General features: G+C 38.5%; 2 pseudogenes across 1 annotated transcript in view; both read left to right on the top strand.

The window, feature by feature from the left end:
* Nucleotides 1–27000, top strand: part of ANKRD26P3 (ankyrin repeat domain 26 pseudogene 3) — an 82174-nt pseudogene that overhangs the window by 19567 nt on the left and 35607 nt on the right. Inside the window, exons 7-10 of the transcript NR_027248.3 lie at nucleotides 3868–4034; nucleotides 8353–8520; nucleotides 10660–10693; nucleotides 15625–15766. The product of NR_027248.3 is annotated as an ankyrin repeat domain 26 pseudogene 3 (transcript). The remainder of the gene's footprint in view (nucleotides 1–3867; nucleotides 4035–8352; nucleotides 8521–10659; nucleotides 10694–15624; nucleotides 15767–27000) is intronic.
* Nucleotides 19647–21330, top strand: MRPL3P1 (mitochondrial ribosomal protein L3 pseudogene 1; annotated as a pseudogene).

The following is a 27000-nucleotide window of genomic DNA, read 5'->3' as shown; positions in this document are numbered from 1 at the left end:
CTGATTTATTTTAGAGACAGGGTCTCACTCTGTCACCCAGACTGGAGTGCAGTGGTGGAATCATAGCTCACTGCAGCCTCAAATTTCCAAGCTCAAGTGATCCTCTTGCCTTGGCCTCTGATATAGTTTGCATGTTTGTCCCCTTCAAATCTCATATTGAAATGTGATTCCTGATGTTGGAGGGGGGCCTGGTAAGAGGCGTTTGCATCATAGGGTCAGATCCCTCATGAATGGTTTAACCCCATCCTTTGGTGAAAGTGAGTTCTTGCTCTGAGTTTACATATCCTTGTTTGAAAGTGTGTGGCACTTCCCCCCTTCATGCTCTCCTACTCAACATGTGCCACACCTGCACTTCCTTTGCATTCCATCATGACTGTAAGCTTCCTGTGGCCCTCGCACCATGTTTCCTGCACAGTGTGCAGAACCATGAGCCAATTAAAGCTGTTTTCTTTATAAATTAACCAGCCTTAGGTATTTCTTTATAACAATCCAAAAATGGCCTAACACAGAAAATTGGTATCAAAGATTGGGTGTTACAATAAAAATACCAGAAAACCAGAAGCAGCTTTGGGTTTGGGTGTTACAATAAAAATACCAGAAAACCAGAAGCAGCTTTGGGTTTGGGCAGTGAGCAGAGACTGGCAGAGTTTGGAGGGCTCAGCAGAAGACAGGAAGATGAGAGAAAGTTTGGAACTTAGAGACTTGTTAAGTGGTCAGAACCAAAATGTGATAGGAATCTGAGCAGTGAAGGCCAGGTCTTAGATGGAATGAAAAAGTTGTTGGGAAATGGAATAAAGATCACCCTTGTTATGCCTTAGGAAAAAATGTGGCTGCATTGTGCCCAAGTCCTAGGGATCTGTGGATATTGAACTTAAAAATGATGACTTAGGGTATTTGACAGAAGAGATTTCTAAGCAGCTAGGAGTTCAAGAAATAGCCTGACTGCTTCTAGCAGCCTACAGTCAGATACAGGAGAAAAGGAATGGCTTAAAGTTGCAACTTGTATTTAAACTGGAAGCAAAGTGTAAAGCTTGGAAAATGTACAACCTGGCCATGTCATAGGGAAAGAAAAAGCCTTTTCAGGAGAGAAATACAATGGGATGTGGAACAGCCACTTGTTAGAGAGATTATCATAACTAAAACATAGCCAAGTTCTAATATCCAAAATGTTGGGGAAAATGACCTGAAGGTGTTTCAGAGCTCTTCCCAGCAGCCCCTTTCATCACAGGCCCAGAGGTCTAGGAAGAAATAATGGTTTCAGGGGGCATGCCCGGGCCCTGTTAACTCTGCTTGGCCTCATGACACTGCTTCTCACATCCATGCCACTTTGGCTTCAGTGGCTCAATGGGGCTCAGGTACAGCTTGGGCTGCCACTCCAGTGAACACAAGCCATAAGCCTTGGTGGCTTCCACATGTTGTTAAACCTGCAGGTGCACAGAATCCAAGAGTGAAGGAGGCTTGGTGGCTGCCACCTAGATTTCAGAGGATGTATGGGAAAACCGGGGTGCCTAGGCAAAAGCCTGCTGCAGGAGCAGAGTCCTCACAGGGAAAAAAAAGCCTCTCCTAGGGCAATGCCAAAGGGAAATATGGGGTTGGATTCCCCACACCAAGTCCCCACTGTGGTACCACCTAGCGGAGCTGTCAGAAGCGGGTTGCTGACATCCAGACCCCAGAATGGTAGATCCACTGGCATCTTGCACCCTTCACCTGGAAAAGCCACAGGCATTCAACTCTAACATGTGAGAGCAGCCATAGGGGCTGCAGCCTGCAAAGCTACAGAAGCAGAGTTGTCAAAGGCCTTGGGGGCCCGCACCTTGCAACCACGTGCCTTGGATGTGAGACATGGAGTCAGAAAAAGGATTATTTCAGAGCTTCAAGATTTAATGACTTCCCTGCTGGGTTTCTGACTTGCCTGGGGCCTGTTGCCCCTTAATTTTGGCCAATTGCTCCCTTTTGGAATGGGAATCGTTGCCCAATGCCTGTAGCATTCTTGTATCTTGGAAGTAAATAACTTCTTTTTGATTTTACAGGCTCATAGGTGTAAGGAACTCATCTCCAAATGAAACTTTGGACTTGGGCCTTGTGACTTTTCAGTTAGTGCTGGAATGAGTTAAGACTTAGAGGAACTTTTTGAATGCATAATTATATTTCAAAATTTGAGAAGGTCATGAGATTTGAGCGGCCAGAGGTGGAATGATATGGCTTGGAAGTTTGTCCCCTTTAAACCTCCTATTGAAATATGATTCCCAGTGTTGGAGTTGGGGCTTGATAGGAGATGACTGGATGATGGGAGCATTTGGCTCCTGAAAGGTTTAGCCCATCCCCTTGCTATTAAGTGAGTTCACATGAGGGCTGCTTGTTTCAAAGTGTGTGGCACCTCCCTCCTCATGCTCCTGTTCTCACTCTTGCTATGTGATGTGCTTGCTTCCCCTTTGCCTTTTGCCGTGATTTTAAGCTTCCTGAGGCTCTCACCAGGAGCGGATGCTAATGTCACACTTACTGCACAGCCTGCAGAACTGTGAGCCAATTAAACTTCCTTTTTTTGTAAATTAACCAGCCTCAGGTAATCCTTTATAGCAAGATAAGAATTGCCTACTGAGCCTCCAAGTAGCTAGGACTACAGGCATACACACCACACCCAGCTAATTTATTTTAAATGATTTTTGTAGAAATGCCATCTTGTTACATAGCACAGGCTGGTCTCAAATCCCTGGCCTCAAGTCATCCTCCTGCCTTGGCCTCCCAAAATGCTCACATTGTATGCATGAACCACTGTACACCAGCTATGAATTTTACACTTCAGTGTGTTTTTATGATGATGAACATTGACAGCTGTTTTCCATGTTTAGGCCTTCTTTGAGCATTTCTTGTAGGGCTGATCTAGTGGTGAAGAATACTCTCAGCATTTGCTGGTCTTGGAAAGACTTTTGTTCTCCTTCATTTATGAAGCTTTTTCTAGCTGGAGAGAAAATTCTTGGATGGCAGTTTATTTCTGAAAGCATTGTGAAAATAGGATCCCAATCTCTTCTGCCTTGTAAGACTTCTGCTGAGAAGTTGGCTGTTAGTTTCATCAGGTTTCTTTTATAGATGACTTGATGCTTTCTTCTTGATGATTGTAGGATTTTTTCGTTCCTGTTGACTTTAGACAGTCTGATATCTATATGGCATGGTATAGTCTTTCAGAGTATTCATCTGGTGTTCTTTGGGCCGATTGTGTGGGTGTGTGTGTTTGTATGTGTGTGTGTGTGTGTGTATATATATACATATATATATATATATATATATATATATATATATATTTCAGTGAGCACCTTCACTTTTTTTGATATCCCAGGAGCCAAAAGAAAAAAGAATTATAAAAGGTGGTGGGAAACAGAATAGCTTAGTGAAGAAAGGGGAAAGCTTCCTTTCTCTTCCTGAAGCCCCAAATGTCACATCCTCTAAATCTGGCTGTTTGATGTAAAATCCAGGAGGAAAAGGCAGAAGATGACACATTTTGTGTCTTCGTCTTTTTATTTCTGTTTCTTCCCAGTTAAATGGGTGAAAATTCATATGAGGTAGCAAAGAATGGATGGAAATAAAAGGACAAAATTTAGAAGAGCCCTTTTGAAATTTTGGAAAATCCTGTCGCATTCACTCACACAGAAATGAAGCTAACTTTATACAAATGTCAGTGATAAAATTATGCTACTTATATCTTATAATTCTATATATAATCCTATATATAATGATAACATAAGTACAAAATATTTTAATGACTAAAATTGTGAAAGTTAAACTGTGAAGCGATAAAATCAATGAAAACAGAACAATTTTTCAATGAATAAAATGATAACAAGTATCCTATCTATGAAACTTTCACTAAAGGCGGAGGGAGAAAGGAAGACACATGCAAGGAATGAAACAGAAGCATCAAGAAACCTACATGATGTCTCCACAGATGACCGTATTGATAATGGGTTAATTCAACAAGGAGAGAATGGAAAAACTGATGGTCAGCAAATTCCTAGGACAGAGCAGGAAGAGTGTGATAGGTAAGCCTACAGCAATATTTAACAGTAGATCATTTCCACTGTACTATAAAAGTAATCCAAATTTGGGCAAATATTCATGATTGACAAATTTTACACTTTTACAAGGGATATTCAGCCTTGCCTGTTGACCATAAAAATGCAGAAAAAAAGAGGTACCATTTTTTCAATTGTATCAATATTTTATTAAAAAATGATAACCAGTGTTGACAAATGTGAGGAAAAAGGGATTCTCATACGCTGTGGGTAAATGAAATTGGTAAATTCTTCTTGAATGTTAATTTAGTAGTGTGTCATTCCTTTCACCTGACACCTTCAGTGCTGGGACTAGATCCTACAGGAAGCCATGACTTGTGTGAATACATACACGTTAAGGACTTCATATTATATAATTTACAAAAATTTAGTTTCTATAATAAGATTGTTTCCTTCATTGATCCCCTTTTATTCCTGTTGTGGAACTCAGTATTTTAATATGAGTCATTACTCTGTATATTTGATGAGGATAAAATATCCTAGAGTTGAATGGCTTTTATCAAGCACAAAATACTGCCCATGAAACTTTTAGTCTTTCTGTGATATTTAATTATAACTATGAGCAAAATGATGATCAGCTTCCATAATCTAGAAATGTTCAGGTAGTCTTTTTAGTTCTGTAATTTTATAAACTTATAATACCTTGGTTTTGCATTTTTTAAATGCCATATGTATTTAATTTAAAAGATCTTCAAAGTGTTAGACTGTATACTCATATAAGATTCGAAAAATGCAGCTAAACCGCAAGAAAATTAGATGGTTCATGATCATGCCACTTAGGTATGATGACCTTGAGAGAACTGCCTTACTCAAGGGGCTCACATTTCCTTTCCATTCACTCTAAAAGTCACTCCAGTAATTTGCCCTCCCATCACTCCTCCAAAATTGTTTTTCTCAAGGTTACCACTGATTTTCACTTTAATAAATCCAGCCTTAATTTCTGAGACCTCGTTTTACTCAACCTATCGGCAACGCCTGACTCAACAGAGAACTCTCTAACTCTCTGCTCCTCAGCACTTCCCTCTCTTGGTTTTCAGGATCTCGCTCCCTCACCTGGCTTCTCCTGCCTTTCTAGTCCATCCATCACAGTCTGTTTGGCTTGCTTCTCCTCATCCCCTACCTTTCACACATTGACATGTCCCACCACTCAGTCCTCAGTCTTCTTTCTCATGACTGTTACTACCCTGTGTATTGAGAATGATGTCCAAATGTGTATCTCCAGCCCAGGTCTCTCTCCTTAATTTCAGACGTGAATATCAAACTGCTTCCTTTACGCCTCTCTTTGGTCACCTATTGAGTATTGCAAACTTGTCAGGTCCAAAATCGGGCTTCTGATGCTCTTCTTCATACCTTCCTCACAGGTAGTCTTTCCTACTTGGGTACATGGCAACTCATCCAGTTGCTCTGCCAATAAGCCTTGGTGTCACCCTTGATTCATCTCCCTCTCTCTTTCTCTGTCTCTGATACCTGACATCTAATCTGTCAGCACATCTTATGAAGCCTATCTTCAAAATATATCCAAAAGCCAGTCTTCCTTCCATCTTCCATGTTCAAGCCACTACCATGTTCTGTCTCGATGAGTGTAACAGACTAGATCCTACAGGAAGCCAGTTGATCTTGTTTCTTTTTCTTAGTTCTCTGTTTATTAATTCTTAGCCCAGAGGACCTGTTAAAACATGTTATATATGGCACTCCTCTGCTCAAAACCTAATTGCCTCTCATTTCTCTCAGAATATATGCCAATGTTCTAGTATCTAAAAGGCAATGTGTGACCTGACCTGTTAGCTCTCCAACTTAAACATCTATTTTTCTATTCCTTTTGCTCCGTTCCAACCATACTGAACTTCTCGCTGTTCCTGAAGCACTCCAGACTTACCTCTGTACTTGGCAGTTCACTCTATCTGGGATGGTTTTCCCTCAGATATCCTCCTGGCTTGACCCTCCCATTCCTTCAGGTCTTTGCCTAACAGCCACATTCTCAGCAAAACCCTTTCTGGTCATTCTACTATTTCCACCAGCCCTCCTCCCCGACCCATAAACCTTTCATTTCCTGCTTTAGTTTTTCTCCTCTAGCATACTATATATTTTGCCTATCAATTATATTTGTTATTGTGTGTTTACTTCACTCTTGAGTGGGATTCCTATTTATTGCTGTACCCTCAGTGCCTAGAAAAGTGCCTAGCAGATAGTATGTATCAACTTAATAAGTATTTATTAAATGAGTGAATGGAGTTTACCCTGGGTATATTGATTTAGACATTAAATGGATTCTTACTTAAAAACCAATTTGATATGGGTTCATTTTGACAATTTTATCTGGAAGTTATATGCATATTTTGGATTCTGTTGGCTCTTTCCATCTAGGGAGAAAAGCCCAATATTGTGGTTATTCACAAATTATTCTTTTTCTGGTAATTATGATAGTTTTAACTACGGTACTGTGGATCAAAGGAATTGCAAACTTCATTTGTATTTTATTAAGCAAAATAAAATATAGGGGTGGTAGATGTAATTGAGTTGAAAACATTTTCCTAAAGCGTTAGAAGCCTTCAGTGATTGAAAAAAAAGAGGCAAGGTTGGAATTCATTTCCACCTATAGTAGGAGAGATGTGCTGGTCAAGCACAGTCTCTTCTGATGGAGCAGCTGCTGATCTTACATAGGGTTTTGGGAAGAGTGGAGTTGAAGAATTGGCTGAGTTTTAAAGGAATAAATGGGTTGATATCATCTGGAGCAGCATGGTTATCAGAGTGAGATTGTTGTGGATTGGTTGGCATTTCCAGGCTCACTGATTGGAGTGAGTTTGTCTCTGATTGTTTCTCTATCAAAAGCAAGCAGCTGACATTGATTGGTTGGTGGATGAGGCCAGTGGTCATTGACTGAGTAGATTTAAAACTGGTTCTGGGTAGCCACTTGTTGCCATGGCTACCAGTCAGTCCTTTCCTAAGCGGAAGGTGACTTTAACCAGATGCTTTCTGCTCATTAAAACTTTACAGAAAAGCATCTTTGTTTTTTTTTTTTTGCTTCTTTCTATTTTACACTTTCTCTTCAGGTTCCTAAGAATCACCTAGATGCCATGTACCCAGTCTTTGTGCTCACATCCTGATCTCTAAGTAGGATGATTTTCGTGTACTTTTTTCCTCATGTGCTTCCCTTATATTTTACTGCTTCTGTAAAGCCTTCTTTGTGCTCAGAAATAACTTTTCATTTATCAGCTGTTACATGTTGCATTGTATTATAATTGTGTATTTACCTGTCTTTTGAGGCAGAGAATATACATTTCCTTGTATTTTGTTGGTACTTCATAACAGGTTTTTGTATTAGTAAATGAATTGAGATGGAAAAGAGTTGCAGTTTTATAAAAATTGGGTTTATTATTTTTTGTCTGTAGAATTATTAGAAAACATTATCCTTTTTGATATGAACAGACACTTCTCAAAAGAAGACATTTATGCAGTCAAAAAAACACATGAAAAAATGCTCATCATCACTGGCCATCAGAGAAATGCAAATCAAAACCACAATGAGATACCATCTCACACCAGTTAGAATGGCGATCATTAAAAAGTCAGGAAACAACAGGTGCTGGAGAGGATGTGGAGAAATAGGAACACTTTTACACTGTTGGTGGGACTGTAAACTAGTTCAACCACTGTGGAAGTCAGTGTGGCAATTCCTCAGGGATCTAGAACTAGAAATACCATTTGACTCAGCCATCCCATTACTAGGTATATACCCAAAGGATTATAAATCATGCTGCTATAAAGACACATGCACACGTATGTTTATTGCAGCACTATTCACAATAGCAAAGACTTGGAACCAACCCAAATGTCCAACAACGATAGACTGGATTAAGAAAATGTGGCACATATACACCATGGAATACTATGCAGCCATAAAAAATGATGAGTTCTTGTCCTTTGTAGGGACATGGATGAAACTGGAAACCATCATTCTCAGCAAACTATCGCAAGGACAAAAAACCAAACACCGCATGTTCTCACTCATAGGTGGGAATTGAACAATGAGAACACATGGACACAGGAAGGGGAACATCACACACTGGGGACTGTTGTGGGGTCGGGGGAGGGAGGAGGGATAGCATTTGGAGATATACCTAATGCTAAATGATGAGTTAATGGGTGCAGCACACCAACATGGCACATGTATACATATGTAACAAACCTGCACATTGTGCACATGTACCCTAAAACTTAAAGTATAATAATAATAAAATAAAATAAAAAAGACAACATTATCCTTTTAATGAATTTTTTGAAGTAGTGTCCCTGCCTTGCATATGAAGAAAGTAAAGAAAAATGAACATGAAGAATGGACCACAACAGAATCTGTGACTTCACTAGTATTTAAGAAGGCTGATTTAATAACTCTTGATCTGCTGCAAGTGACTGATGAGAGCAGTTTAACTGAAATAGATGAGGAAGAAAGAAGGTAAAATTGACAAGTTCTTTATTTCTCTGTAAAGGAACGTTAGCAGTGATTACTTTTTCTGAAAATAGAACAGTGAAATATTTCAAAGCTACAGAATACTCAACAGTAGCAATGCTGCTGAAAGATTGATTAAGATAAGGATGAGTGGGTTTGACAAGGAGCAGTTTCAATAAATGGTCACCATGGAACCCTGACTCTAGTGGATGACAGTAGACATCTCTAGAGAGAACATTGTCTGAGAAAGGCAATAAAGAAATGGGTAATAAGTGAAGAGAAATACGGGATTCAAGGGTATTTTCTTCTTTTATTTTAACATAGAAGTTTTTAGAGTATGTTTGTATTCTTTTGTAATTGATCTGGTAGAGAAGGGCATGCTTATGAGATTTAATTTGGTTTGCATGTCTAAGCGTTAGAAAGCTTGATACAGTGTTATTTAAAGATTTATAGTAAACTAATTCTTTTCCCTCCTTCTATTCATATATAATTTTATGGTAAGAGGTTGTTCCTTCAGAATTGAGTTGGAAATGGAATATTCTAATGAAATTGAACATAAAAATGATGACCGAAAAGTTAAACTATTGTAGATAGATTTTTAAAAGTAATGTAATAATAAATGTACAAACATTAGGTCATACTAAATAGTATTTACATAATTCTTGATGATTGTATATATTACAATGCCTTTGACAGTAGCATCATAAATAGCTATGATTTGGTGAGGTACTCAAAAATATCAGATATGTCAACTCTATAGCTGTTTGGCTTCTGGGGAGAAGAGGATGATTTTGTTTATGTACAATAGAAAAGCAAGCTACTGATGATCTATCAAGGATTATTACTCTTAGATTATACAGTTTTCAAGTATAACAACCATATTTTCCTGGACCAACTGACATGTATTGTGTGCTCAAGAAGCATTAGTTGGATGCAGGAATAAACAGTTGAATAGATGAATGAATGCCTGTTGATGGATCTTTAGGAAAAATTGAATTATTCGTTCATTGAAAGTAGGTTTCTAAAATTGCCTAGGTATAAGTTCTTAGTATTTTTTTAATTGCAAGATTCAGAAAATATTGCTTATAGTTTTGGCCAGAAATAGAATGAAAGTCTGGATTAATGTGCTATCATATCACTTAAAAACAGCTGAAAATAAATATTGAGTTCATGGCATGTTGTGAAACACATGTTTTAGAGCCAGAATTCCTGGGTTTGAATGCTGGGTCTGCTACCGACCAGCTGTATGGGCTAGGGAAAGTTACATGAGTTTTCTGTCCCTGATTTCTTCCTTCATAAAATAGCTGATATGTTACCTACCTCACATAGTTGCCGTGAGAATTAAAGTACATTTTTACGAGATGTACATTGCTTAGAAGAAAGCATCCAAACTGCTTAGTAAGGCCTGAAAAAGCTAAGTAATATCATTTAAGGGGAGTTTCTCTCATATAAGAACACAAGTAATATTTTCCAAATAGCTTGTTTTCATCAAAAATGATAATAACAAAAAATGGTATATATCTTTTATCAAATAATGCAAGTAACCTGTTTTTCCTTTTGCTGTGGCTGTCAGAAAGCTTACTCTAAATTTAATTTTTGGTTGTATTATTAATTAGTAGTATATTTTCTTTGTCCCTTAATATTGCTTCTTCTGTTTGTAGTTTAATCTCCCTTGTATAAAATAATTGTATTTTCCATTCCCCGTAAAAAAATTACCTGTAGGCTGGGTGCAGTGGCTCACACCTGTAATCCCAGCACTTTGGGAGGCCGAAGCAGGTGGATCACGAGGTCAGGAGTAAAGACCAGCCTGACCAACATGGTGAAACCCCGTCTCTACTAAAAATACAAAAATTAGCCAGGTGTGGTGGCGCGTGCCTGTAATCCCAACTATTTGGAAGGCTGAGGCAGGAGAATCGCTTGAAGCCAGAGGTGGAGGTTGCAGTGAGCCGAGATCGCACCACTGCACTCCAGCCTGGGTGACAGAGAAAGGCTGTGTCTCAAAAGAAGAAAAAAAAAATTACCTGTAAACTTTAAGAATAGGAGAAATACAAATACAGAGATTTTATACACAAGACAATAGTTTTAGATATTCTTTGTATTTTACATATTTGTTGTTTGCCTGATATGAACTGTTTGTTGTTTTAGGCTTACAAAGAAAACATCTAACGAGAAGGACAAGGTATTGTTAAAAAATATGTTATCGTGAATATGATTGTTAAAAAATACATTATAAGAGGTAAAGTGAAAAACAGAGAATCTGTGATTGTAAAGACATTTACTTTGAAAAAGTAATTAGAAACAGCAGCCAGCCACCCCTTGAAGGCACTGCTGCCCAAGGAATCCCCACCTACCATCCAAAGCATTTCCGCCCCCAGCAGCCCCTCTGGAGTGCTTCTATTCGCGGCCCTCCATTGCCCCACCAGAGCCCTATCATCCCTAGCACCCAATGGAGTTCTCTTGCCAGTGGTCTGGGAGCACCTTGGTTCCCCCAGGTCATCCAGTGGTCAACCACAAGAGACCAGAGAACAAAGCCACAGGCCCAGTTGCAACCACCTAGGGTTAGAGCACTCAGCACAGGAGTGTGGAGCTGAGCTTTGGCCCTCTGAAAGCATCCAGAAATGAAGCCACTCATCTATACCTACATTGTACCACAGTCAAACCCTCAAACATGAAATTATAAAGCCAAAGGACAGCAGCTTAAAAGGAAGAAAGGATATCAGCCTTCACAGATGAGAAAGAACCAGCACAAGAACTCTGGCAGCTCTAAAAGCCAGTGTCTTCTCACCCCCAAATGATCACACTAGCTCCCTGGCAATGCTGCTTAACCAGATGGAGATGGCTGAAATATTCGAAACAGGATTCAATGTTTGTATGGCAAGGAAACTCATCAGGAAATAAGAGGAGGTTGAAACCCAATCCAAGTAAAGCTGTAAAACAATCCAAGTTGAAAGATGACATAACTATTTTAAGAAAGAACCCAACTCCACTTCTGGGAGTAAAAAATTCCCTACAGGAATTTCAAAATACAATTGGAAGCATTAACAGTAGAATAGGCCAAGCTGAGGAAAGAATCTCTGACATTGAAGAGTGCTCCATCAAGGCAAAACATGCGGACAAAAATATAAAACAAAATGTTTAATGATCAAACCTCTGAGAAATATGGGATTGTGTAAAGAGAACAAAACAATGACTCAGTAGCAATCCCGAAAGATTAGAAGAGAGTACACCCAATTTGGAGAACATATTTTAAGATATTGCCCACAAAAATTTCCCCAGTCTCACCAGAGAGGTGAAAACACACATTCAAGAAATTCACAGAACCCCTGTCAGATGTTACACCAGATGACCATCCCCAAGACACATAGTCATTTGGTTCTCCAAGGGCAACACAGAAGAGAAAATCTTACAGGCAGCTAGACTAGAACAGGGGCAGGTTACTGTGAAAGGAACCCCAACAGGCTAAAAGCAGACCTTTCAGCAGAAACTTTACAAGCCGGAAGGGATTGGGGGCCTATTTTGAACATTCTTAAAGAAAAGAAATTCCAACCAAGAATTTCATGTCCCACTAAAGTAAGCTTTGTAAGCAAGGGAGAAATTAAATCCTTTTCATTTGAAATACAAACCTCGAATATAAATGGTCTAAATGCTCTACTGAAAAAACACACGGTGGCAAATTGGATAAAGAAGCAAGTCCCAACTGTCTACAAGAGACTCATCTCATAAGTAATAACACCCATTGGCCCAAAGGAAAAGGATGGAGAAAGGTCTATTGGGTGAACAGAAAACAAAACAAAGGGCTGGGGTTGCTATTCTTACATAAGATAAAACAGACTTTAAACCAATAACAATCAGAAATGACAAAGAAGGGAATTATATAATGATAAAGGACTCAATCCAACAAGAAGAGTTAACTATCCTAAATAAATACTCTCACCCAACCTGGAGCACGAAGATGTATAAATTCTTAGAGACGTACAAAGAGATTTAGACAACCACACAATTATAGTGGGAGAGGTCAACCCTGCACAGTGTTAGATCAGACTCGACATGTGGCCAATTGTACCTAATAGACTGCTACAGAAAACTTCACCCAACAAACATATAATATATTAATACATCCTTCTCATCTGCACATGGCACATACTCTAAGATCAACCACATGCGTGGCCATAAAGCAAGTCTCAGCAGATTCAAAAAAGCAAAATCATACTAACCACACTCTCAGGTGACAGCTCAATGAAAATAGAAATCAATACCAAGAAGATGTATCAAAACCATACAATTACATGGAAGTTAAATAACCTGCTTCTGAATGACTTTTGGATAAAGAGTGAAGACAGAAATAAAAAAATTCTATGAAAATAATGAAAATAGAGACACAACATAGCAGATCTTTGGGACACAGCTAAAGCAACGTAAATAGGAAAGTTTATAGTGCTTACTGTCTACATATGTAGTTAGAAAATTTTGAAATAAAGAACCAATATCGCACCTGAGGAATTAGAAAAACAAGAGCAAACCAACCACAAAGCTACCTGAATAAAAGAAATATCCCAAATCAGAGCTGAACTAAATGAATTTGAGATGCAAAAATCCATATAAAAGATTAACAAAACTGGTAATTAGTTTTTTGCAAGAATAAACAAGATTAATAGACTGTTAGCTAGGTTGATAAGGAAAAAAAGAGAGAAGATCCAAATAACTGCAATCAGAAATGACAAAGGTGACATAACCACTGACTCCACAGAAATACAAAAATCCTCAGAGATTATTGTGTGCACCTCTGTGCACACAAACACGAAAACCACAAAAAAAGGTAAAAATTTCTAGAAACATACAGCCTCCCAAAGCTGAACCGGGTAGAAATTGAAACCCTAGACAGACCACGAATGAATTCCAAAACGAAATCAGTAATAAAAAGTTTACCAATGAAAAATAAAGCTGAAGATCAGATGGATTCATGGCTGAATTCTACCAGATATACAAAGAAAAACTAGTACCACTCCTACTGAAACTATTCCCAAAAATTGAGCAGGAGGGACTCCTCCCAAACTCATTCTATGAAGCCAGTGTCATTCTGACACCAAAAACCTGCCAGGCAGATGACAAAAAAAGAAAACTTTAGGCCAATATTCCTGAATAACATGGATGCAAAGATCCTAAACAAAATATAAGCAAACTGAATCCAGCAACACATCAAAAAGTTAATACACCGGAATGTGCAGGCTTTATTCCTGGGATGCAAGGTTGATTCAATGGGAAACCAATAAATTTGATTAAACACATAAACAAAATTAAAAGTAAAAACCACATGAGCATCTCAATAGATTCAGAAAAGGCTTTAGATAAAATTCAAGATCTCTTCGTGGTAAAAGCCCTCAGCAAAGAACTGATCAAAAGAACACACCTCAAAATAATGAGAACCATCTATGGTAAACCCATGGCCAATATTATATTGAATGGGCAAAAGTTGGGAGCATTCCCCTTGAGAGCTGGAACAAGACAAGGATGCTCACACTTACTACTCCTATACAACATGATACTGGAAGTCCCAGCCAGAACAGTGAGACAAGAGAAAGAAATAAAAGGTATTTACATATGAAGAGAGGAGGTCAAACTATCTTTTTTTTTTTTTTTTTTTTTTGCGGATGATATAAATCTATACTAGAAAACCCCAAAAAATCTGCTAAAAGTCTCCTAAATCTGATAAATGACCTCAGTAACATTGCAGGGTACAAAATTAGTGTACAAAAATTAATACCATTTTTATACACCAGTAAATATCTGAGAGCCAAATCAAGAATACTTGCCATTTACAATAGCCACAGAATCAAATACCTAGGAATACAGCTAACCAAGGAGGTGAAATCTCTAAAATAAAAATTACAAAATAATACTGAAGGAAATTAGGGATGACACAAACAGATGGAATAATGATCCATGCTCATGGATAGGAAGATTCAATATTGTTAAAAATGGCCATACTGCCCAAAGCAGTCTATGGATTCAACGCAATTCCTGTCAAACTATCAATGTCATGTTTATTTTATTTTATTTTGAAACAGGGTCCCACTCTGTCACCCAGGCTGGAGTGCAATAGTGTGATCTCAGCTCACTGCAACCTCCACCTCCCGGCCCTCAAGCCATCCTCCCACCTCAGCCTGCCAAGTAGCTGGAAATACAGGCGCATGGCACTATGCTAATTTTTATATCTTTTGTGGAGACATGGTTTCACCGTGTTGCCCAGGCTGGTCTCAAACTCCTGAGTTCAAGCGATCCACCTGCCTCAGCCTCCCAAAGTGCTGGGACTACAGACATGAGCCACCATGCTTGGCCCCAATGTCATTTTTCACAGAATAAGAAAAGATTATTCTAAAATTCAAATGGTACCAAAAAGCCTGAATTGTCCAAGCAAACTTAAGTGAACGGAACAAAGCCAGAGACATAACACTACCCAACCTCAAAATCCTTCTGCCAAAAAGATGCTTGCACTCATATGTTAATCACAGCACTATTCACAATAGCACAGACACAGGATCAACCAAGATGCCCATCAACAGTTGTCTGGATAAAGAAAATGTGGTACATAGGCAGCATGGAATACCACATAGCCATAAAAAGAATGAAATCCTGTCCTTTGCAGCCACATGGATTCAGCTGGAGGCCATTATCCTAAGCCTACTAATGCAGGAACAGAAAACCAAATGCCACACGTTCTCATTTATAACTGGGAGCTCAACATTGAATACAGATGGACACAAAGATGGGATCAAGACATGCAGGGGAGAGGGAAAGCGGGGATGGTGTCATGGGTTGCAAGACTAACCGTCAGATACTGTTCTCACTAACTGGGTGATGGGATTATTCCTACACCAAGTCTCAGTGATGTGCAATTTATCCACTAACAAGCCAGCACATGATGCCCCCTGAACCTAAAACAAAGGTTGAACAAAGTAGTAGTTATTGATAAGGGTATCCTTTAATCAAAAATCAGTTCTTGTACCTACATTTTTGATCATATCAAAAGATGGGTGATTACCACTTATTTACATTTAGTACATGCTCTAATTATTTGTGGAAATTTTTGATATGTCGTTATTTATTTCATAGGTCAGAAACCAAATCCATTCTGTGGATGGCTTTGATGACTTAACTTGGTCATCTGAAATAGCCTCAGAGTGTTGTGAGCTACCTTACTCTAATTACAAAAAGTTTATATTGCTCATTGAAGAACTTGGCGTGGATTGTAAAGGTAGGACCATTACCATTACATAAATAAAAGGTCTTTTTATGTATCCTGTATTAATGTGTGCACACTTTGCTTAGCACTGCTCTATAGAGTGCTTAGGTGTTATAGTGATGTTCATCTCAGAAGGATGCCTTATGTCAAAATAGAGTAAGAATGATTGTATATTATGCACTCTCAGCCCAAGAGCTGTGATAATTCCACTGTACTTCATGTGAAGGACTCTGCTTCTCTCCTGTGCCTTTCCTCAAGGTCAGGTTACCATTGTCCACTACCTAGAATACTGCAATAACTTCTGAACTGTTTTCCTTATTATCCCACCTTCCTAAATCATGTCTATTAGGCAACCATAATTATATGTTTTTTAAAATTCAGATCTGTTCATGCTGTCCTTTTGCTTGAAAGGACTTTTTGCTTGAAACCTAGCTATTACTCTCATTGCTATAAGGTTAAAGATCTCAGTTTTCCAGCTGTCTGCAGCATCATTTCATACTCTTCTTTCTGTTTGTGTCCCAGCCACTGTCTTAGATGTGTGGCCCTGCTATCAGTAGCTTTAGTGATATATAGTTGATATTTGATAAAGGGCACATGTATATGATGTAGAATTTGGTAAGTTTTGACATATGTACACACTTGTGAAATCATCACCGTAATGGAGATAGTTAACATATCCATCACCTGCTAAAGTCTCCTGATACCTCTGCATATCCTCTTATTAAGAAACTGCTAAATTGTTTTTCAAAGTATTTGTACCATTATCCATTCCCATCAGCAGTAAACGAGAGCTCCACTTGCTCTGTATTGTCACATACACTATGGACTTCTGGGTATTTAAAATTTTTTTTTTGCCTTTCTGATGGATGTGTATTGTGCATACTATTATGGTTTTAATGCACGTTACCTTAATGACTACTAATGTTGAGTATCATTTCATGTGCTTATTTGCCATCTGTATCTTTGGAGAACTGTCTTTTCAAATCCATTGCCATTTAAAATATCATGCTGGTATTTGCAATGACCTGGATGAGACTGGAGACTATTATTCTAAGTGAAGTAACTCAGGAATGGAAAACCAAGCATCACATGTTCTCACAGAGATGTGGGAGCTAAGCTATGAGGGCACAAAGGCATAAGAATGATACAATGGACTTTAGGGGCTTGTGGGGAAGAGTGGGAGGAGGGCAAGGAATAAAAGACAACATACATGGTGCAGCGTATACTGCTCAGGTAATGGGTGCACCAGGATCTCACAAATGACCACTAAAGAACATACTCATGTAAACAAATACCACCTGTACTCCAATAACTTTTGGGAAAATTTTTAAAGATTAAAATAAATAAATAAATTATGCTGTTGTTTTCTTATTTGTTGAGTTTTAAGAGTTCTTTATGTATTCTGGATTCTATTCCTTTATTGGCTATGATTTTTGCAAGAATTTTTTTCCCAGTTTGTGGCTTCATTTTTCATTCTCTTAATATTTTTTAAAGAGAGGTTTTAAAAATTATTATTATTATACTTTAAGTTTTAGGGTACACGTGCACAATGTGCAGGTTTGTTACATATGTATACATGTGCTATGTTGGTGCGCTGCACCCATTAACTCGTCATTTAGCATTAGGTATATCTCCTAATGCTATCCCTCCCCCCTCCCCCCACCCCACAACAGTCCCCAGTGTGTGATGTTCCCCTTCCTGTGTCCATGTGTTCTCATTGTTCAATTCCCACCTATGAGTGAGAACACGCGATGTTTGGTTTTCTGTCCTTGCGATAGTTTGCTGAGCATGATGGTTTCCAGCTTCATCCATGTCCCTACAAAGGACATGAACTCATCATTTTTTATGGCTGCATAGTATTCCATGGTGTATATGTGCCACATTTTCTTAATCCAGTCTATCGTTGTTGGACATTTGGGTTGGTTCCAAGTTTTTGCTATTGTGAATAGTACCGCGATAAACATACGTGTGCATGTGTCTTTATAGCAGCATGATTTATAATCCTTTGGGTATATACCCAGTAATGGGATGGCTGGGTCAAATGGTATTTCTAGTTCTAGATCCCTGAGGAATCGCCACACCAACTTCCACAATGGTTGAACTAGTTTACAGTCCCACCAACAGTGTAAAAGTGTTCCTATTTCTCCACATCCTCTCCAGCACCTGTTGTTTCCTGACTTTTTAATGATCACCATTCTAACTGGTGTGAGATGGTATCTCATTGTGGTTTTGATTTGCATTGCTCTGATGGCCAGTGATAATGAGCATTTTTTCATGTGTTTTTTTGGCTGCATAAATGTCTTCTTTTGAGAAGTGTCTGTTCATATCCTTTGCCCACTTTTTGATGGGGTTGTTTGTTTTTTTCTTGTAAATTTGTTTGAGTTCATTGTAGATTCTGGATATCAGCCCTTTGTCAGATGAGTCAATTGCAAAAATTTTCTCCCATTCTGTAGGTTGCCTGTTCACTCTGATGGTAGTTTCTTTTGTTTTTAATTTTGAAGAAGTTCAATTGACCTGTTTGTTCAATAACGGCTTTTGCTTTTTGTGTACTATTTTTTAGTAGATTGGATAAGATTTTCTCCATAGATCAAAGGTTGTCAAGCCTTTTCTTTCTCGAAGTATGCTCTTATTAAAGACAGTAAATATTCTAAGATTTGCGGCAAAACAGATGCTGTTGCAGCTAATCAACTCCTCCACTGTTAGTATGAGAGCAGCCATAGACAATACGTAAATTAATGAACATAGCTGTGCTCCAGTAAAACTTGATTTATGAAAACAAGAAGGTGTCCCACAGGTTGAAGTTTACTCACCCCTATAATGTGATCATGGTTGTAAATTTAGTTTCATCTCTTTCTTCCATTTTATTTCTTTTTCTTGCCTGAATGCATAGGCTAGAATCTTCAATGCACTGAATAAAAGTAGTGAAAGCAGACATCCCTGTGTTGTTCCTGATCTTATGGGAAAAGCATTCTGTTTCTCATCATGACACATGTTAGCTGTAGGTTTATCCTAGATGTTCTTTATCATGCTAAGGAAGTTCTCTTGTATTCTTAGTTTTCTGAGAGGTTTTTTTGGTCTTAATCAGTAATAAATGTTTAATTTTATCAAATGTCTCTATGTACTGAGAGGATCATATAGTTCTTGTTAGTTTGTTAATGTGATGAGTAACAGTGAATTTTGAATGTGAAACCAACCCTGCATTTCTGAGATAAACCACATTAGCTTATGATATATTATCCTTTTAATATATCATTGGATTCAATTTGTTAAAAGTTTTGTTTAGAATTTTTTAAAGATCAGTTTTAGAGCAGTTTCGGGTTCACTTCAAAATTGAGAGGAAGGTACAGAGAGATTTCCCATATGCACCCCCCACTACATGCGTAGCCTCTCCATTATCGATATCCCTCACCAGTTAGATACAGTTGCAATGATGGATGAACCTACATGGACACATCATAATCACCCCAAGTTCATAGTCTACATTAGGGTTCACTTTTGGTGGTGTACATTTTCTGGGTTTGAACAAAGGTATAATGACATGTATCCATCATTATAGTATCACACAAAGTGTTTCCACTTCCCTAAAAATGCTCTGTGTTCTGCCTATTTGTCCTTTCCTACCCTCCTCAAGTCTTTGGCAACCACTGATCTTTCTATTACATCCATAGTCTTGCCTTTTCCAGAATGTCATATAGTTGGAACCACACAGTAAGTAGACTTTTCAAATTGGCTTCTTTTACTTGGTGATGTGCATTGAGGGCTCCTTTATGTCTTTTCATGGCTTAATAGCCCCTTTTTTTTAACCCCTGAATATTTCACTGTGTGGCTGTACCACAGTTTATTCATTCACCTACGGAGGATATCTTGGTTGCTTATAAAATTGGTTGAAGGAAGGGCATCGGCTGGCGGCCATTGCAGCGACTTCCCCATGGCTGCTGCGTCCGCGTGGTGGTGGCGTGGGGACGCCCTGAAAGCAGAGCAGCTGGGCACCCGGAAGTCATGAGTTGAGTCTTCCCGGGCTAATCCATCCCGGGTTGGAGGCTGCTGATGCAGGTCGGCGCCCAGGTGCTGGGTCAAGTCGGGGATGGCCTGGGTGCTGCCCTGGGCCCGGGGAACAGAACACACATCTGGCTTTTTGTTAGAAGTCTTCATGGAAAGAGTGGTACGTGGTGGGATGAGCATCTTTCTGAAGAAAATGTCCCATTCATTAAGCAGTTGGTCTCTGATGAAGATAAAACCCAATTAGCAAGTAAACTGTGTCCTCTGAAAGATGAACCATGGCCTATGCATCCTTGGGAACCAGGTTCCTTTAGAGTTGGCCTTGAAGCTGGGCATGATGCCTTTATGGACCAAGGATGGTCAAAAGCACGTGGTCACATTACTTCAGGTACAAGACTGTCATGTCCTAAAATATACTTCAAAGGAAAGCCGTAATGGAAAAACGGCAGCCCTGTCTGTAGGAGGCAAACTGTATCACGTTTTCATAAAGCTACACCTGTATTGGAATTTTACCGAGAACTTGGATTGCCGTCAAAACAGACAGTTATAATCTTTAATGTAACAGATAATGCTGCAATTAAACCAGGCACTCCTCTTTATGCTGCTCACTTTTGTCCAGGACAGTATGTGGATGTCACAGCCAAAACTATTGGTAAAGGTTTTCAAGGTGTCATGAAAAGATGGGGATTTAAAGGCCAGCCTGCTACACATGGTCAAACGAAAACCCACAGGAGACCTGGAGATATTTCAACTGGTGACATTGGCAGAGTCTGGCCTGGAACTAAAATGCCTGGAAAAATGGGAAACATATATAGAACAGTATATGGACTGAAAGTGTGGAGAATAAACACAAAGCACAACATAATCTATGTAAATGGCTCTGTACCTGGACATAAAAATTGCTTAGTAAGGGTCAGAGATTCTAAACTGCCTGCATATAAGGATCTCGGTAAAAATCTACCATTCCCTACGTATTTTCCTGATGGAGATGAAGAGGAACTACCGGAAGATTTGTATGATGAAAACGTGTGTCAGCCTAGTGTGCCTTCTATTATGTTTGCCTAACACCTTTGGATGTGGCAGAACCTTACATATTCTGTGAGCTTTGATGAGCCAGAGTAATATAATAATCACCAGAAATCATACTCTCCTTTCTTCGTCACAACAAAATCACACATGTCATCTTTGTCAAGGGTGTAAATATATCATTCATACCCCCATTAAATTTTGTTAGAAAAATTACCACATTAAACATACAAGTTAAGTAGATTGGATTTGCTGAAATTGGTGTTTGGTGTATTAGCAAAATATTCATAATTTGTGGACTTGATTCTTTTTTACTACATATTTCCTAAGATACCTTAAGATGTCTATAAATTTAACTTTGATACAAGTTTTGTCAATCTTTGTGAAATAGTGGTTGTGGAACAGTAGAAAACCATATGGGGACTATGGTGCAACCTGTTTCGGTAAAGAAACTATTTGCTAAAATGGAAAAAGTACATAAATTTTTATTTAAATTACAGAAACATGTATGTTAAAGGCTGGACAAAGGAAAGAATCAAATCATAAATTATGGGTCCTGTTTACATTTTTGTTGGGAGAGGTGATTTCTTTTTAGTTTTATCACTCAATAATAAGATCAGTATGAATTTTTTATTTTTTTATTTTTTTTTTGAGATAGGGTTTTGCTTTGTTGCCCAGGCTGGTGTGTAGTGCAGTGGTGCAATCTTGGCTCACTGGAGCCAAGACCTTCTGAGCTCAAGTGATCCTTCCACCTCAGCCTCCCATGTATCTGGGACTATAGGTGCCCACCACCATGCCTGGCTATTATTTGTATTTTTTGTAAAAATGGCGTCCTACTATGTTGCCCAGGCTGGCCTTGAACTTCTGAGTTCAATCTTTTTACCCTCCGTGGCCTCCCAAAGTGTTAGGATTACAGGTGTGAGCCACTGCACCCAGCCTACCTTTCAAAAAGAATTTATAATGATTTAAGATTGTATGTTCAACAAACTTTTATTAATCATGTATTAATCAAAATGCTAATGGTTTCTGGGTTTCTTTTTAATTGCATGAAATTAACATGTATTTACTAATGGCAGGTTCATGACAAATAAGTTTAACCATGTGTATAAGCAGACCTCAGCTTAAATACTTGATTTCCTCTGAACCAGATTGTTAATTCACATCACCCAATAGGTTTGTTAGTCATAGTGTTAGATCTCCATGTGATATACTATCCTGGTCGTATCACATTTTTCACTTTAAATCCAAAGGTAGCCACTTTTTTTTAAGTTTTTATTTATACTTTATCTTATTCCATTAAAAATTTATGGCAATTGATAGGAAATCCACTCAATAAAATAGAAAAATAAGAGAAAAATATTTAGAATAATATAAATTAGAATAGGTGGTATTTTGGGGGAGGGAATAGTGTCAATGTTGTATAGATGAGCAGTCTATGCTCTGTAGAGTTGTTATATTCAGATAGTTCGGTTTTGAGCTGCCTGGGTGCTAAAGTAAAACATATAGCATTATTTGTTACATACTGTTCGTTATTCATGAGTTTGGATAGTGATAATAATAGACTGTCATAGTCTTTAACTGGAGTAGATTACATTTAAAACCACCACACCATATTTGGTTAAAAAAATAACTTATCAAACTAGAAATTTGTTAACTTGTTCAAAGTTATCTCTAGCAATCATCATATACAAGGGTAAAATGCTAGAAGAATTCTTTTCAGGGATCAAACAAGGATACCCTCTACAACTTCTATTCAATAGTATTCTTGGGTGTCCTAGCCAGTGCAGTAAGACAAGTAAAAGTAATGAGATAAATTGGAAAGTAAGAGCAAATCTCATTATTTGTAAGAAATATTTACCTAGAAGATGAAAGGTAGACAACTGACAAGTTATCAGAACCAATAGAGTTGAAAAAGGTAACAGTACAAGATTAATATACAAACATATAGAAATATTTTATGGGAAAAACGGATACTATTTATAATAGCAATTAAAAATTACCTAGGAAAAGCCTAACAAGAAATATGCTAGTGTCTTATGTCCTTTTTTGAAAGATAGATAAGAAAACTTGAATAATGGAGAAGAATATCATGGCCATGAATGGGAAGATTATGTTGTAAAGAATTCATTTCAGTCCTGTTTTAAAACTTTCAACAGGACTTAGAGCTAGTCAAACTGATTCTAAAATCATGTGAAAGTGTAAATTCAAGAACAGCCACTACTTAAAATGGTACACATTAGTTAGATATGCCCCCATACTATGCTTAGGAACTTATACAGACATACCTTAGAGATATTGTGGGTTTGGTTTCAGACCACGGCAATAAAGCAAATATCACAATAAAGCAAATCACAAAATTTTTAGTTTCCTGATGCATATATAAGTTATCCTATAGTCTATAATGTGTTTCAATAGCATTGTATCTTTAAAATATACAACCTTAATTTTAAAATATTGTCAGAAAATGCCAAAGATCTTCTGAGCCCTTAGCATGTTGTAATCTTTTTAGTGGTAGAGGGTCTTGCCTCAAAGTTGATGGCTGCTGAGTGATCAGGGTGGTAGTTTCTGGAAGGTTGGGTGGCTGTGGCAGTTTCTTGGCATAATGCAATGGACTTTGCCACTTGATTGACTCTTTCTTTCCAAAAGATTTCCCTGTAGCATGGAGTGCTGCTTGATAGCATTTTGCCCACAGTAGAACTTCTTTCAAAGTTTGAGTCAATCCTCTCATACCCTGCTGCTGCTTTACAACTAAATTTATGGAATTTTCTAAATCCTTTTTTGTCATTTTGACAGTGTTCACAGCATCTTCACCATAAGTAGATCCCATCTCAAGAAACCACTTTCTTTACTCATCCATAAGTACCTCCTTTTCTCTTCAAGTTTTAGCATGAGATTGCAGCAATTCAGTCACATCTTCAGGCTCCACTTCTGCAGTATATTCCTCCACTGGAACCTTGAACCCCTCAGAGCCACTCGTGAGAGTTGGAGTCAACTTCCAAACACCTGTTAATGTTGATATTTTTACTTTCTCCCATGAATCGTGAATGTTCTTACTGGCATCTAAAATGGTGAATCCTTTCCTGAAGGATTATGGCAACTTTATATATAAAGGACTATGGCAACTGTAACCTTACAAAACATATTTCTTAAATAATTAGAGTTTGAAAGTCACAATTACACATTTATGCATGGACTACAGAATAGATGTGTTAGGCATGGAAACAACATTATTCTTGTACATCTTCATCAGAGCTCTTGGCTAACTTAGGTGCATTGTCAGTGAGCCCTAATCTTGTGAGACAAATGGACAATTATTTCCGGGAGAATATACAATCTTTTTCCTGCATTATTTGTGAAAAAGGAATCAGTATATGAAGGTAGCCAGTTGCCAAGACATAAGATGTTTTCACGAAGGCAGGGAACCTTCTGCACTTAAAGAGCCTGCCCCAAACTTACTGTCACTGTAGTCGGTGGTCTGTGGATCTGTTTTTGAGTTTTAAAATAACATTTCTGATCACCTTCTGGGATTACAAGTATGATTCCTGTCTTCTAGAATCAGGGAACAAAACTTTAACTCTCACCCCCTAACCCCAACTAGTCCCACTACCAGCAGCTTCTACAGGTACATATCCTTTGAAGAGGATTCGGGCTCCATTCTGGCAAACTAAGTGGCCCAGACGAACTGTGCCCGTCTTTCCAGTTGTGGAATACCTAAACCAGTCTGCCTAGTCCAACACTACAAAATGTGATTTCCCAAGAACCTTAGGGTTACTATTTCTGGCTACACACAAGCATTTTGCCTCAGCAGCTGTCCTCAAATGTTCAGCTCTGAAATGGAAATCTGCCTACTATAGATAGGGAGTACATGGTCCCAGGACTCCCCTGCTCTACTCTCTGGATCCCAGGCAGTACTAGAAGCCTGCTCTTGAGCAGTGCTGACCACTGGACGAATATGGTGGCAATTCAGTTCTCAGCAGTGGAGCCATCTTGGGCCTGAGTTGAGCTTGAGTTTGATTTACTCTTTTAGATTTTGTCTTGAAATGGAGAACCTTTTTGTAATTAAACTTCATTCAAATTAGACATTTGTTCCAGCATACTTGGTACTAGCTATTAGGAATAAAACATGGACATACTGAACCTTGTATAATTCTGTAAGCCTTAGAGAGGCCAACAGATTAAGGGATACTTTAAGAGTTACACTACTGGTCATCCTTCCTCTCCAAGACCTTTATCCTACCTGCTAGGGTAGCCGAAGCTGAAATGCAAATGTTAATTAGTCCTATTTCCACAGCGTCCCCTGGCATGGGTAAACTGGATGATGCCAGCTGTCACAAACATTAATCTATAAATCAAAGTATTTATTACAGCAAGTATAAGGATATACTTTACAAGAGTATGAAGCATTTCAGAGTCAGTAGTGCTTTTGCAGTCTTTAACGGTGAGGTACCAATCTGCTTTTCAGCTTTTCACAAGGGGTGGAATATAAGGATGAGCTTTACAGCTAATTTCTAAAGGTAAATTTGCAGATGGGACCTGACCATGTTTCAGCACATATGGAGAAATGCATATAGAACTATGGCCTGTTTTTCTAGTGTAATGAGTATTAGAACACAGTCACACACACAGAAGCTGAATTCGTACGTAGGGTTCCTCATATGCAGAATGAATCCCATTAGTCTGTAAGATTACTTGCTTTACATTAGTAGCTTATTTTGTTTTACTAATCAAAAGAACCCCTCTTTGAGAAAGAATGTGTCGGCGTGAAGTCTCTCCTGATTCCAGCAAAATTGAACCTACGCCCTAAATCATTGCCCAGAGAGAGACTGTTGGCTGTGTCACAGTGAAAACCCATTATGGGAGGAAAGAGCAGCATTCGGATTGCTGACTCTGAACCTGTTATTTGGACCTCTGGAATGAATACCTTTAAATGTTTGTGTTATTCCTCATTTTTGTCAGAGTAGAAACACAGTGTGGGCTTTCTGTGGCATTGAGTCTTGCAAAATTGTCTTCTAGCCTGGAGTGTGATGTGCTTCTACTAGCTACATTATTTGTTTTTCTATGGCTGTTTCCTTTCCCTTGGTAGGATGTGTGTGATTCTAAAAATGCCTTTTACTGCCTGTTTTGCCTGAAGGTCACCACCTGGGAGGTTTTCCCCACTTTTGCAGGAACTGTGGCAAGAAGAATATTATGTTTCTATTATGGTACTTATCATGATACTGTTTATCATGCTTTTATAGTTTTATAGTGGAGCACTTTTGCGATAATGTAGGGCATGTTGCTCATAACTGTTTTACTGAACTGCTGAACCAAGAGAGTGAAGACAGGCAGACAGAAGCAAGTCACTATGCTATGAGGCCACCTTGGGCAAACATCTTCAATAGCTTTATAATCATGTGTTACTTCATGGCTACCTGTTTTCTATATGGGAAGAAGTTCTTCACATGAGAGTTTATTTTGCTAGTGATAGATAAAGTTTCTACTCTCTTCAGGGACATTCCTTAAAGTTGACTTTACTGTAACAACAGACATTTCTTCAGTTTTCAGTTTTATTGCTATTTCTGCTAGAACACCTCATCCACCAGCTTGGCCCCATAAATGATGGTGGTCTGTCAAAGCATGCCCTACCAGGCAAGTGAAGACTGCCATTCAGACTTTGCCTCCAGCAATTACCTAGGATTCCCTGGAATGAGAGGACTCAGTGTCATTCCCTCCTCCAGAAAACAGCCAGTCCTGAGCGTGCAGGGTTGCCAGCCTCAATTTCATCACTTGCTTTTCTACTTTTAAATGTTTGCAAACAACAGCAGTCCATGTCACATGTTTTATTCTTTTTAGATTAATGAGGTGGCCTGTTCAAGTTGGACGGGCCGCATTAATCTCAGTGAATGCAGTCCTTAGCACCACAAAAACAAACAGATGATTTTAACTCAACTGGACAAAGAGTCTTGGCATAGTAGGTGCATAATTGTTGCTTTTTGGCATTTGACTGGACAGCGAGAGTTGTGATTTTGATTCTCCAAAAGCAGACTATGTGAGCACCAAGTATATTTTAGGTCATTTAGATAGTTTGTTGTTTGAATGAATGAGGATAAGACATCCATCAATTTTTGATACTACACCAAATCTGCCTTATTTCAAAAGGAACTAACTAAACACTCCATCACAGATGTCCTGACAAAGATGCACGGATGACTATATTAACGAGACTGTGTCAGAATGAATAA

The sequence above is a fragment of the Homo sapiens genome, chromosome 13 (genome assembly GCF_000001405.40).
Source record: "Homo sapiens chromosome 13, GRCh38.p14 Primary Assembly".
NCBI lineage: Eukaryota > Metazoa > Chordata > Mammalia > Primates > Hominidae > Homo > Homo sapiens.
The sequence above is the reverse complement of the archived record's forward strand: the minus strand, read 5'-3'. Positions and strand labels throughout refer to the sequence as shown.